The sequence below is a fragment of the Homo sapiens genome, chromosome 7 (genome assembly GCF_000001405.40).
Source record: "Homo sapiens chromosome 7, GRCh38.p14 Primary Assembly".
Lineage (NCBI taxonomy): Eukaryota > Metazoa > Chordata > Mammalia > Primates > Hominidae > Homo > Homo sapiens.
In genome coordinates this window covers 4,825,061-4,837,834 of record NC_000007.14, presented here as the reverse complement: position 1 = coordinate 4,837,834, position 12,774 = coordinate 4,825,061, and the positions used below count along the sequence as shown (strand labels likewise).

Sequence of the window (12,774 nt, the reverse complement as noted above, 5' to 3'; positions counted from 1 at the left end):
GGACTGGTGAGCGGTTTTCATCTATCGCAGCCGGCTGGCTTTCCCAGAGCATGCATTTAGAGAGCGTGTCTGTATTTATGAGATATTAAGTCTTCTAAGGGTGTGTGTTATCTCTGAACTGTGCGCATGTTTGTGTGCATGTATGTGTTAATGTGTGTGGGTGCATGTGTGTTGGCGTGTGTGTATGTGTGTGCATGTGTGTTTTTGGGTGCATGTGTGTGCATGTGTGTGTGCATTTTTGTGTGGGTGCATGTGTATTTGTGGGCATGTGTATGCACACGTGTGTTTGTGTGTGTGCCTGCTTTGGCTTGGGGGTATCAGAGACAGCCTTGGGAAGGAGGCAGCGATGCTGTTGCAGGAGCAGGCCATCGGCAGCCCCATGGGCTGGGGTGATGTGGCACAGTGACACCTCCTCCTTGTAAAGTAGGGGCAGGATGCTGACCAGTCCGTCTCGTCTCGTCAGAGCACCACCCCCAGGGGAGTTTCGCCTGGTGCACAGATGGATGGGGCAGGGCTCTGGAGGCGGCGTGGTGACCCTGCAGAGGCCCAGGCTGCCGTGGGAAAACGTCTGTGGTTTGAGGCCTGTGGGCCGTGGTGCTGGCTGGTCGGGCAGGCCGCGGTGTGACCCTGGGCTGCTGCAGGGGAGGCGTGGTCCCCTCAGCCTGAGGATTTGACAGGCAGGCTGCCTGCTCTGAGACTGTTCTGTGGGTGCCACGGTGGTGCCAAGGCACTGTCTGGTTTTTCGAGGGGCGTGGCTAGAGGGCAGAGTCCTTGAGTCTCCACCAGACCTGTTTTGACAGAACAGTAACGGCATTAGGAGACGTGGCTTAGTGGGATTTGAACTCAGAAGGACCCGGGACATGGGCGCTATTAGACTTACCTGTTTTTTTTGGCGGGGGATGGAGTTTCGCTCTTGTCACCCAGGCTGGAGTGCAGTGGTGCAATCTCAGCTCACTGCCACCTCCGCCTCCTGGGTTTAAGCCATTCTCGTGCCTCAGCCTCCTGAGTAGCTGGGATTACAGATGCGCACCACCACGCCCAACTCATTTTTGTATTTTTAGTAGAAATGGGGTTTCACTGTGTTGGCCAGGCTGGTCTCGAGCTCCTGACCTCAGGCGATCCCCCCACCTCGGCCTCCCAAAGTGCTGGGATTACAGGGGTGAGCCACCGCGCCCAGTCCTGGTGCTATGAGACTTCTAACTGTTCACCTTGTGTTGCTTCTGTTCCAGGGATAAACGCCCAGGCCCGGAGGCTGCAGCGGAGTCGCGCGAAGGGAACCCCGACCCCGGCCCTGGGGGATGCCCGGAGCTCTCCTCCACCCCGGTTGCGCCGCACAGTCAGTGAGACCAGCCTGAGCCCAGTGAACGCCCTGCCCGCTGCCGCCCAGGGCCCCGAGGAGCCCGGCCCCGACGCCATGCGGTACTCGCTGTACCAGTCCCCGCATCTGCTCCTTCTGCAGGGCTACAGCCAGCAGCACGTGAGCCTCCCCTCCTGACACCCACTGCCCGGTGCCACTGCAGGGACAGCAGGCGGGACTCAGAAGTCAAGGCCTCCGCCTGCCTTTAGCCCAGTCGGCCGCGAGCTCTGTGGCTGCAGCCCCTCTGGCTGTGCCGAGGCTGTGGAGTGGGATGGCGGGGGCACATGTGGAGTCATCCACATTTTCCCTGTCCAGGCCACGGTGGGCGGCAGTGGGGGCTCCTCACTTCCCCAATCCCAGAGTGGGTGCCCTCAGCACCAGGCGCCTTCAGGGAGAACTCCTCACGCCTTCCCAGCCTTGGTCTCCCGCCTGGCTCTGGGGAAGGGCATGGGCAGTTGGCCAGGGCCAGTCTGCTTCCTGCTTCTGGCGAGGGGGCTGCTGAGTCACCAATTGGTGGCCACATTCTCTGAAGGGGCACCGAGCAAAGGCCCATGCCACCCCTATCTGCCCAGAGCCGTTTCTCACCACTTCCATCAGAGCAGGCAGGCTGTCGCCCCGAGCAAATGCCAGGCGCAGGGCCACCTCGCCTCACCTTGCCGGACACTTGCCCTGCCAGACAACTGTTTTCCCCGCCCCCTGCTCACCCTACCCCCGCCCTCCTGTGCAGCCAGCTCCTTTGCTGCTCATTTCCATGAGCACTTTACAGCCATAGGGCTCCTGTGCCCAGGTTTTAGGTGGCATCTTCCCTCGGGGCAGTGCTCTCACACAGGCGGCAGTGCTCCCACACTGGGGGTGGTGCTCCCACACAGGCGGCAGTGCTCCCACACAGTTTTGGGGATGACTTGGGGGAAGTTATGTAGTCCTTGGCCCGGTCTGTAGAACCAGTGCCTGTTTCCCGGCCAGCCCTGACCTGGCCTGTCGCTGTCTCAAAGCTGGGTGTCTCCTGGGTCTCTCGTGTGCTCCTCCGGGAAACCGACCTCCTCTGGGATGGGCCCGGACATCGAGGGGCGGGTTCCTGAGAGCCGTCGGGGTTCTGGTGTGGGGGTGGCCAGGGACATGGAGAGCCCGTGGCGACAGCATCCCAGCCACGCTGCTTCAGCAACCAGTGACTAGACACGGGACGCTTTTCCCGTGTGCTGCTCGCGTTACGCCTGCCCTGAGCGGAGTCTCTGTTTCAGGACAGCCTGGTGTATGTGCTCAACCGGGACCGGCACACGGTGGGCCAGCGGACCCCCTCCAGCAAGCCCAGCATCAGCCTCTCAGCCCCCGACATCCTGCCTCTACACTGCACCATCCGCCGGCAACCGCTCCCGGACAGCGGCCAGGCCGCGGGGAGGCTGGTCCTGGAGCCCATCCCCGGGGCGCACATCTCCGTCAACTTCTCCGAGGTGGGGCACAGGACCGTGGTGCTGCACCACGGGGACCTGCTCTCCCTGGGGCTCTACTACCTGCTGCTATTCAAGGACCCCGCGCAGGCCCAGCCCCTGCCCGCCCGGGCCTTGGCGCGCCTCCGGGCTGTGCCGCAGAGCTGCCGGCTGTGCGGGGCCGCGCTCGGGGCCCGGGGAGCCGCCTCCCCTACTCAGGCCGCCCTGCCCCGGCGCCAGCAGCTGCTCCTGGAGTTTGAGCCCCACCTGGAGGACACGCTGCTGCAGAGGATCATGACGTTGATCGAGCCGGGGGGCGACGACCACAAGCTGACCCCCGCCTTCCTCCTGTGCCTCTGCATCCAGCACTCGGCCACCCACTTCCAGCCGGGCACATTCGGGCAGCTCCTGCTCAAGATAGCCAGGCTGATCCGCGAGACTGTCTGGGTCAGTGTGCTGGGGTGGGCGGTCTGGGTCCTGTGCCGGTCTGGGGGAAGAGGGGGCCCGGAGCTGGCCCCGGCTGGGAGGCGGGAGCGCCTCTATCTGACCCCCACGGTGCTGTGCTGCTGAGCGCAGGGCGGCCTTTCCCTGCCTGTCGCTGCCCCCCAGCCCCACAGGCCACCAGAAGCAGCCCCAGAACCCAAGGTGTCAGCTGCAGCCCTTTGCCCCTGAGGGTGGGGTTTGCGTGGGGTCCTAGGTCACCTCCTGAGCTCTGGGCTTGTACCCTCCCTGGGGTCCAGCTGGGCCCAGCACTGTCACGTGCCAGGAGTGAGCTGCCCCTGAGCCTGGGCACCACGAGGCCGAGGTGACATTGATAGCTCTCACAGGCCCCTGCCCAAGAGCCCCAGAAGCCCCTGTGTGTGCCGGCGCCCTGTGCTTGCTGCCAGGGGCCGGTTGAGCACATACCCGCTGGAGCCATCCCTGATCCGAGTTTGGAGGTGCAGGGCCCGTCACCTTTTGTGCGTTGACGAACTTTCCTCCAGGCCAGCCTCTCTCATCCCCGGCCCTGTGGACACTGTGGCAGGAGAGCTCCTTGCTGTGAGGCTGGCCTGTGCATTGCAGAGGATTCAGCAGCATCCCCGGCCTCCACCCCTAGATGCCGGTCACCCTCTGCCGCCCCGCCACACACACACACGCAATACACCCATGGCTGCAGGCATTGCCAATGTCCCCAGGAATCCAGTGTGGCCGCCAGTGAGCAGGACCGCCCTGGGCCCATGAGTGCTGGAACAGGCATCACACAGTCATGGCCCCCCGCTGGGCCCCACCCCACAGTGACTTGGCTCCCAGGGACCCGAAGGACAACTCGTAGTTGTTCAAGTTCGTTCAGAGACCCTCAGATCCTCGCTAGTCTGGGCCCCGCTTATCCCCGGCAGACAGGGGAAGGGGGAACCACTTGACTGTGTAGAAACCTTATCACTTTCTCATATCGAAATCCACATTTTAAATGTCTGAGACTTTTAAAAAGTAAAAGCCAGCTCAGGCTTCCCTGTCCAGATGTCAGTGGGAGCCGTCTCTGTGCACCGTGGGTGTTGTAATCTGGGTGTCCGTGCCTCTTCCCCTCGGGTTCCCGGCTTGGGATTTGATGGGAGTGCCACTGCAGCGTGCCCGTGTCCCCTCCGTGCAGTCATGGACACAGGGCCAGGTGATGTCCCTGTAGTGTGTGTCCACATCGTGGCCACTGTGACCGAGAGTTACCTGCTGGCCAGAAGTCATGGGTTTTCGCACGATCATTGTCATTTCCCGAGTCTCCTCTGCGCCAGGCACTTACTTGCAAACCAAACGCTGTTTAATTTCTTTATCACAACCACCCTGACGATGTAGATGCCACACCCCATGTCACAGCCAGGGAAACTGAAGCCAGGGGGCCGTAAGTCACTTGCTGAGGGACCCGGGTCCCAGCCTGTGTCCCAGCCACCTGGGGCTCGCTGTGTGGCTGGCCCACTCCCTGCAGCACACCAGGGCTCACCCTGCCCCTATGCTACAGGCTCTGAAACAGAGGCTCCCAGAGGTGAATTGCCTGGTCCAGAGATTGAGCTGATAGACATGAGACCGAGCCTGAGTCCACCTCTTCCCCCTGCACCCACTGTGGGAATCCGAAGCCTCCGCTGGGTGCTGTCCAGATCCCATGCGAATATCATTTGCGCGTTTGTTTCCTGAGAATGTGCAACTGTGTCGCCGCTGCCCCGTCCTCATTCCTTACCAAATATACACGCTTAGTCTACGCGCACTCAGCCATCACGGTTACATTCAGCCGGATAATAACTTACTACTAAGGCAAGAATAATTCTTTTTTTTTTTTTTTTTTTTTTGCTGAGACGGAGTCTCGCTCTGTCACCCAGGCTGTAGTGCGGTGGCGTGATCTCGTCTCACTGCAACCTCTGCCTCCCAGGTTCAAGGGATTCTCCTGCCTCAGCCTCCCAAATAGCTGGGATTATAGGCATGCGCCACCACACCCGGCTAATTTTTGTATTTTTAGTAGAGATGGGGTTTCACCATGTTGTCCAGGCTGGTCTCGAATTCCTGACCTTAAGTGATCTGCCTGCCTCAGCCTCCCAAAGTGCTGGGATTCCAGGTGTGAGCCACCTTGCCCAGCCTCTACTATTTTTTAAATAGCCGGTTGTTATGTAAGCTAGAGAGTTGTGAGATACTCTATTGTAGCAAACTTGTAGGTCATAGTCGGTAATGGAATGGGAAGATGTTGAAGTCACATGGAAAATGTCCTTTCCAGCACAGCTTGAATAAATAGTCAGCGTCACACAGGATGCCTGGGGCAGCATGGCTTGTTTTCCTGTCGATGGTATCGTGTATTTGAACGCGTCCCTGTGTTAGCCTGTTTTGCTCACTTGCTTTTTCTCCCGCTTTGTAATTGTAGGAGAAAACCAAAGAACTAGCAGAGAAGCAGGCGCAACTGTGAGTATGACCCGGTTATTGTGCCCGCCTCTGGGCAGCAGGTCCTGGGGGCTCACACTTCCCGGGGGAGCCAAGTCCCGAGGGGTCTCCCCACGCCTTGGGGTCAGCTCTGGGCTTTGTCCTTCCATCCAAGCAGCGGCCTTTTTTGCTTCTTTAGTCATCACCCTGGGAAGCTCTGAGTTTTGGGAAATTGCTTCAGGGCACCCTTAAGACTGGATGGGTGAGGTCTTCTTTTTTTGTTTGTTTTTGTTTTGTTTTGTTTTGTTTGCTCTATCGCCAGGCTGGAGTGCAGTGGTGCAATCTCTGCTCACAGCAACCTACACCTCCCAGGTTCAAGGGATTCTCTTGCCTCAGCTTCCCGAGTAGCTGGGACTGCAGGTGTGCACCACCATGCCTGGCTAATTTTTTTTTTTTTGTACTTTTAGTAGAGATGGGGTTTCACGATATTGGCCAGGCTGGTCTCGAACTACTGAACTCAAGTGATCCACCTGCCTTGGCCTCCCAAAGTACTAGGATTACAGGCGTGAGCCACTGTGCCTGGCTTTTTTTTTTTTTTTTTTTTTGAGAATCTTCACAATTTTATTAGTTTATTTATTTTCCACTTTTATTTTAAGTTCAGGGGTACGAGTGCAGCTTTGTTACATAGGTAAACTTATGTCGTGCGGGCTTGTTGTACAGATGATTTCATCACCCAGGTATTAAGCCTTGTACCCATTCATTATATTTCCTGATCCTCTCCCTCCTCCCAGCCTCCACCCTCTGAAAGGCCCCAGTGTCTGTTGCTCACCTCTCTGTGTCCATGTGTTCTCATCATTTAGCTCCCACTTGTAAGTGAGAAGGTATTTGGTTTTCTGTTCCTGTGTTAGTTTGCTAAGCATAATAGCCTCTAGCTCCATCCATGTCCCTGCAAAGGACATGATCTCGTGCTTTTTTTTTTTTTTCTTTTTTTGAGATGGGGTTTCGCTCTTGTTGCCCAGGCTAGAGTGCAATAATGAGATCTCGGCTCACGGCAACCTCCACCTCTCAGGTTCGAGCGATTCTCCTGCCTCAGCCTTCTAAGTAGCTGGGATTACAGACATGCACCACCACGCCCAGCTGATTTTGTATTTTTTTTTTTTTTGAAACGGCATCTCGCTCTGTCGCCCAGGCTAGAGTGCTATGGCGCAGTGTCGGCTTACTGCAAGCTTTGCCTCCTGGGTTTACACCATTCTCCTGTCTCAGCCTCCCGAGTAGCTGGGACTACAGGCGCCCGCCACCACGGCCAGCTAATTTTTGTTTTTTTGTATTTTTAGTAGAGACGGGGTTTCACCGTGTTAGCCAGGATGGTCTCCATCTCCTGACCTTGTGATCCACCCGCCTCGGCCTCCCAAAGTGCTGGGATTACAGGTGTGAACCACCGCGCCCAGCCGCTAATTTTGTATTTTTAGTAGAGATGGGGATTCTCCATGTTGGTGAGGCTGGTCTCGAACTCCTGACCTCAGGTGATCCACCTGCCTCAGCCTCCCAAAGTGCTGGGATTACAAGCGTGAGCCACTGTGCCTGGCTGATGTCGTGCTTTTTTATGGCTGCACGAGGCCCTCTTTTGAGCCTTCTCCTCCCTTGCTCTCCCGATTCTGTGTTAGAACTAACCTGCTCCTTCAGGGAAAGGCGCAGCTCCTGGGTTAGAGGTAAGGTAGTGCACCGCCACTCTCCAACGGCTGTTTGCGCAGAAAGCACTATCTCTACCCTAGACGCTGCTGGGGCACTTGGGAAACCATTCGGTTGATCTGATACAGACGTGCAGCCCCTGCGGCCTACGCTCCCACTCTCGAGTGGGCCCTAGAGAGACACCTGCTGGTGGAAGGCAGTGTGTCCGCACAGGAGCTGAAGCCGCCACATGTCTCCTCCTGGTGGCAGGGAATGACTTTCAGCCACTGCTCTCTCAGTGCAGCTGAATCCAAGACAATGTTGGGAAAAAGCACCTAGCACAGTGTCTGTGATATGGTTAAATGCCCACACGCACACACACGTACGTATGATACTCACAGCCAAGCCATCCTGTTTAAGACACACACGTGAGATAACACTGACGAAGGCAGAGTGGAAGGTGGTGGCCACGCTAGGCAGTGAGGGAGGGGGTGTGTCTGGGGGGCTCAGGCTGAGTGGCTGGCAGCACCCCCTTAAGTCAAGCTGTGGTACACAGAGGTTTGCGTGATTCCCATCCGTGCCTTTATTAGTCTGTTCTCACGCTGCTAATAAAGACATATCCGAGACTGGGTAATTTATAAAGGAAACAGGTTTAATGGGCTCACAGTTCCACGTGACTGGGGAGGCCTCACAATCATGGCAGAAGGCAAAGGAGGAACAAGGGCACATCTTACATGGTGGCAGGCGAGAGAGTGTGTTCAGGGGAACCACCCTTTCTAAAACCAACAGATCTCATGAGGACTCATTCACTATCGGGAGAACAGCATGGCAAAGACCCGCCCCCATGACTCAGTTACCACCCACCGCGTCCCTCCCACAACATGTGGGAATTGTGGGAGCTACAATTTAAGATGAAATTTGGGTTGAGACACAGCCGAACCCTGTAAGTGCCTCACGTACCAAAAATGGTCCATCCATAAAGCCCATTATTGCCATATGTGCCTGCTGATGTCCACCCTGGGTCCATCCTTCTTTCAAAGGTAGGAGGGACAGGCATGGGACAGCTTGGGGACCACTGACCTGGAGTCCCCAGCATCCCCACTGCCCGGCCCAGGGAGAGCTGAGCTCCGAACGCCTTCCACTTTCACTGGCAAACACCCGCTCCCCAGAGCCAGGTCCCGATGCCATGCACTGGGGGTGGGTCCTGGCCTCTGAGATCTGGGACTGTGTGAGGGACCCAGGCTCTGCCTCCCAGCCTGACAGGAGGGGGCTCCATAGAAGCCAGGCCCCGGATAGCATCGAAGGGTGATGGACAGCCTGACCCACGGCAAGGAGGTGGTCCAGGCCCGGGCCCCTACAGTGGCACCTGACATCTTGTGGGCTTTCAGTGTTGAGGAGAAGTTTGCATGGGAGTTGGGAGTGGGCCCAGTAACAGGCGTGGTGGCCTCCCTCTGGGGCTCTGTTCCAGGACAGCTGGAGTTCTAGTGTTGAGGCAGGGTGTGGAGGGGATGGGAGTGTACCCAGCCCTCATCCTCCTAAGTGCTGAGGTGCAGGGAGGACTGGAACCTTCCACCCCAGTGCCTGTTTGCTGGGCAGCCTGCAGTTTGAAGCTGAAGCGCAGCTCTGGGTGGACCCAGCTTCCTCGTTGACGGGAAGGCCCGGGCCCTCCCTGCTGCAGCTGCCCGCTCGTGCTGTGTGTTCCAGAACCGTCATCGTTAGGACCTAAAAACAGCCGTTTCCATCCCTCTTGCATGCCTGGGGGGCTTTTCCTTTTTCCTTTGTAAAATAATGAATCACTTCCAAAACACAGAACAGTACGGAATCTGTCACTCCCCCGTGATCCCACACCTGAAACTGATGTTATGATGATGATGATTTGGGATTTAATATTACTAACATTTTGTTTGCCCTGTTTGCCTCAAATCTTTGTGTTCTGTGTTTCAAATTGTGAATGATCACTGAATTTGACTAAATCATTTTCTGCATCTGTGATCAACATATTTTCCCCCTTTAATCTGTTAATGTGGAGTGCTACATTCCTAGGTTTTCTTTTTTTTGAGACAGGGTCTCATTCTGTCACCCAGGCTGGAGCGCATTGGCGCGACCTCGGCTTGCTGCAACCTCCACCTCCTGGGCTGAAGCGATTCCCGCTCCTCAGCCTTCAAGCAGCTGGGACTATAAGTGCACGCCACCATGCCCAGCTAATTTTTGTGTTTTTTGTAGAGATGGAATTTCACTATGTTGGCCCAGGCTGGTCTCGAACTCCTGCGCTCAAGCAGTCCTCCCGCCTCAGCCTCCCAAAGTGTTGGGATTACAGGCGTAAGCCACTGCACCCAGCCTATATTTTTAATATTTTGAGGAGCCTCCATACTGTTTTCTGTAAAGGCTGTACTAATTTATATCCCCACCAACAGCGTGCAGTCCTTTTGAACACCTGTGATCTGTCATTGTTTTGATAATGGCCATTCTAACAGGAGTGAGGTGGCGTCTCGTGGTTTTGATTGGCATCTCCCCGAGAATTAGTGATGTTGACTGTTGATCTTTTAATTAGGATTTTCCCATCTGAATTTATCGGTAAAACTGGTCTACGTTTTTTTTTGTTTGTTTGTTTGTTTGTTTTGCACTGTCCTTGTCTGATTTTAGTAACAAGGTTCACAGAACATGAATTGGGGAGCTTTCTCCGTTTCTTAGTTCTCCAGATCAGTTTGTATGAGGTAAGGGCTGGCCCTGAAGGTTTGCTGGAAGAACATCCGGGCCAGAGTCCTCGGGGAGGGAGACCCGTGTTGGCCGAATCCCTTTCTTTAATGAAGATTGGTTTACTTCATTTTTTATTTATTTCTTTTTGTTCGTTTTTGCGATGGAGACTCGCCCTGTCCCCCAGGCTGGAGTACAGTGGCACGATCTCGGCTCACTGCAACCTCCGCCTCCTGGGTTCACGCCATTCTCCTGCCTCAGCCTCCCGAGTAGCTGGGACTACAGGCGCCTGCAACCACGCCCGGCTAATTTTTTGTATTTTTAGTAGAGACGGGGTTTCACTGTGTTAGCCAGGATGGTCTTGATCGCCTGACCTCTGGTGACCCGCCCACCTCGGCCTCCCAAAGTGCTGGGATTACAGGCGTGAGCCACCGCACCCGGCCCTTTTTTTTTTTTTTGAGACAGTCTCGCTCTGTCGTCTACGCTGGAGTGCACTGGTGCAATCGCATTTCACCGCAGCCTCCGCCTCCCAGGATCAAGCGATTCTCCTGCCTCAGCCTCCTGAGTAGCTGGGATTACAGGCGCCTGCCACCATGCCCGGCTAATTTTTGTATTTTCAGTAAAGACGGGGTTTCACCATGTTGACCAGGCTTGTCTTGAACTCCTGACCTCAAGCAATCTGCCCACCTTGGCCTCCCAAAGTGCTGGGATGACAGGCATGAGCCACGCTCCTGGCCTGTCCTGATGATTCTTATTGGCCTAGAATCTTTCTTTCCCTGGAGTGAGTACCACATCCCCTTTCACTGGTTTACTACTCGCCTCATCAGATTTTTCCATGCCCGTCCATGGAACCAGGGAAAGTTTAGGTTCACTCTTTCTGTGCCCTTTTGTTTTATGTTTTGAAAGCCATTGTTTGTTCACCTGTCTTATCTTTGTTAATGGGCAAGTCGAATTATTTAGGTTTATTGCCATTCCTGATGTCTTTGGCCACATTTTTACCATCTGTTTTGCACTATTTTCTGTGCGTTTTGCCTTTGATTTTTATACTTTCCTATCTGATTGGGTTTTTTTTTTTGTTTTTTTTTTTTGAGACGGAGTCTCGCTCTGTTGCCCAAGCTGGAGTATAGTGGCTCGATCTCAGCTCACTGCAACCTCCGCCTCCTGGGTTCAAGCGATTCTCATGCCTCAGCCTCCAGAGTAGCTAGGATTACAGGCACGCGCCACCACGCCCGGCTAATTTTTGTATTTTTAGTAGAGACAGGGGTTCACCATATTGGCCAGGCTGGTCTCGAACTCCTGACCTCACATGATCCACCCGCCTCAGCCTCCCAAAGTGCTGGGATTACAGGTGTGAGCCATCACAACTGGCTTCTGACTGGATTTTTAAAAACTCCCCTTTTCCTTCTTTATTAGTTTCAAAGTAATTCTGAAAATATTAATATCTTCCTCCTTTTGTGGAACACTAGATCTTAGGATGCTTCGACCCCCATCCTCACTTCCGGGCTTTCATTTTATTACTGACATTATTCCAGCTTCAGCTTGCTTTTAACACTACTGTGTCTCAAATCATTCTTTGTTTTTACTTCATTTAATTTAATTAATTATTATTTTTTGAGACAGGGTCTCACTCTGTTGCCCAGGCTGGAGTGCAGTGGTACAGTCAGAGCTCACTGCAGCCTCAACCTCCTGGGCTCAAGTGATCCCCCTGCCTCAGCCTCCCGAGTAGCTGGGACTACAGGCATGCACCACCATGCCCTGGCTAATTTTTTGATTTTTTCTGTAGAGACAAGACTCAAGTGATCCTCTAGCTTCAGCCTCCCAAAGTGCTGGGATTGCAGATGTGAGCTACCGCACCTGGCCCCAAAGAGCACCTTTAACAGTTTCCTGCAACATATTCACCATTTCATTTCCCTTTTTTTTTTTTTTTTTTTTTTTTTCTGAGACGGAGTCTCGCTCTGTAGCCCAGGCTGGAGTACAGTGGCACAATCTTGGCTCACTGCAACTTCCACCTCCCGGGTCCTGGTTCAAGAAATTCTTTTGCCTCAGCCTCCTGAGTAGCTGGGATAACAGGAACATGCCACCACGCCCAGCTAATTTTTGTATTTTTAATAGAGACGGGGTTTCACCATGTTGGTCAGGCTGGTCTTGAACTCCTGACCTTTGTAATCTGCCCACCTCGCCCTCCCAAAGTGCTGGGATTACAGGCGTGAGCCACCGCACCCGGCTTTTTTCTTTCTCTCTCTCTTTCCTTTTTTCTTTCTTTCTTCCTTTCTTCCTGGGTGTGATGGCGCTGGCTGAGCTGTCTGTGGTTTGCTTTCTCACTCACAACCTCTCCAGGTGGGTGGATGTGGCTGACCCATTTTTTGGGGCACGCCATTCCCTGGTCCTCTCCTGATGGACGCGACAGGCATGCATAGGCTGTGGCCGGCAGCCCATGCTCTGGTCTCTGTGCTCCTTGTGGGCCCTGCGAGTGTTTCCATCGCCTTGGTTCCCAGGAGTGGGACTCCAGTGCTTCCCTCCACCCGCAGGAGATACCCGCGCCTTGACCAGCCTGCCTCAGCCAGCTGCGCCCGTTCCTCCTGCCGGGCCGTGCTGCCCCTGCTGAGTGCCCTTCCCCTCTGCCCTCTTCTAGAACTGCCCCAGCCAGCTACGCCTGTTCCTCCTGCCAGGCTGTGCTGTCCCCCCCCGAGTGCCCTTCCCCTCTGCCCTCTTCTAGAACAACATGGGTTTTCCTTTTCCACCAGACCTGCTCCTCCGTCC

General features: G+C 55.1%; 1 protein-coding gene and 1 non-coding gene across 2 annotated transcripts in view; both read left to right on the top strand.

Moving 5' to 3' along the window:
• Positions 1 to 12,774, top strand: part of RADIL (Rap associating with DIL domain) — an 86,662-nt gene that overhangs the window by 45,882 nt on the left and 28,006 nt on the right. The window contains exons 3-5 of the mRNA NM_018059.5: positions 1,230 to 1,477; positions 2,596 to 3,228; positions 5,657 to 5,694. Of these exons, the coding sequence (NP_060529.4) occupies positions 1,230 to 1,477; positions 2,596 to 3,228; positions 5,657 to 5,694 (919 nt within the window). The remainder of the gene's footprint in view (positions 1 to 1,229; positions 1,478 to 2,595; positions 3,229 to 5,656; positions 5,695 to 12,774) is intronic.
• SNORD165 (small nucleolar RNA, C/D box 165) lies at positions 385 to 447 on the top strand. Its single transcript, NR_145804.1, has one exon. It is a non-coding gene; the product is annotated as a small nucleolar RNA, C/D box 165 (small nucleolar RNA).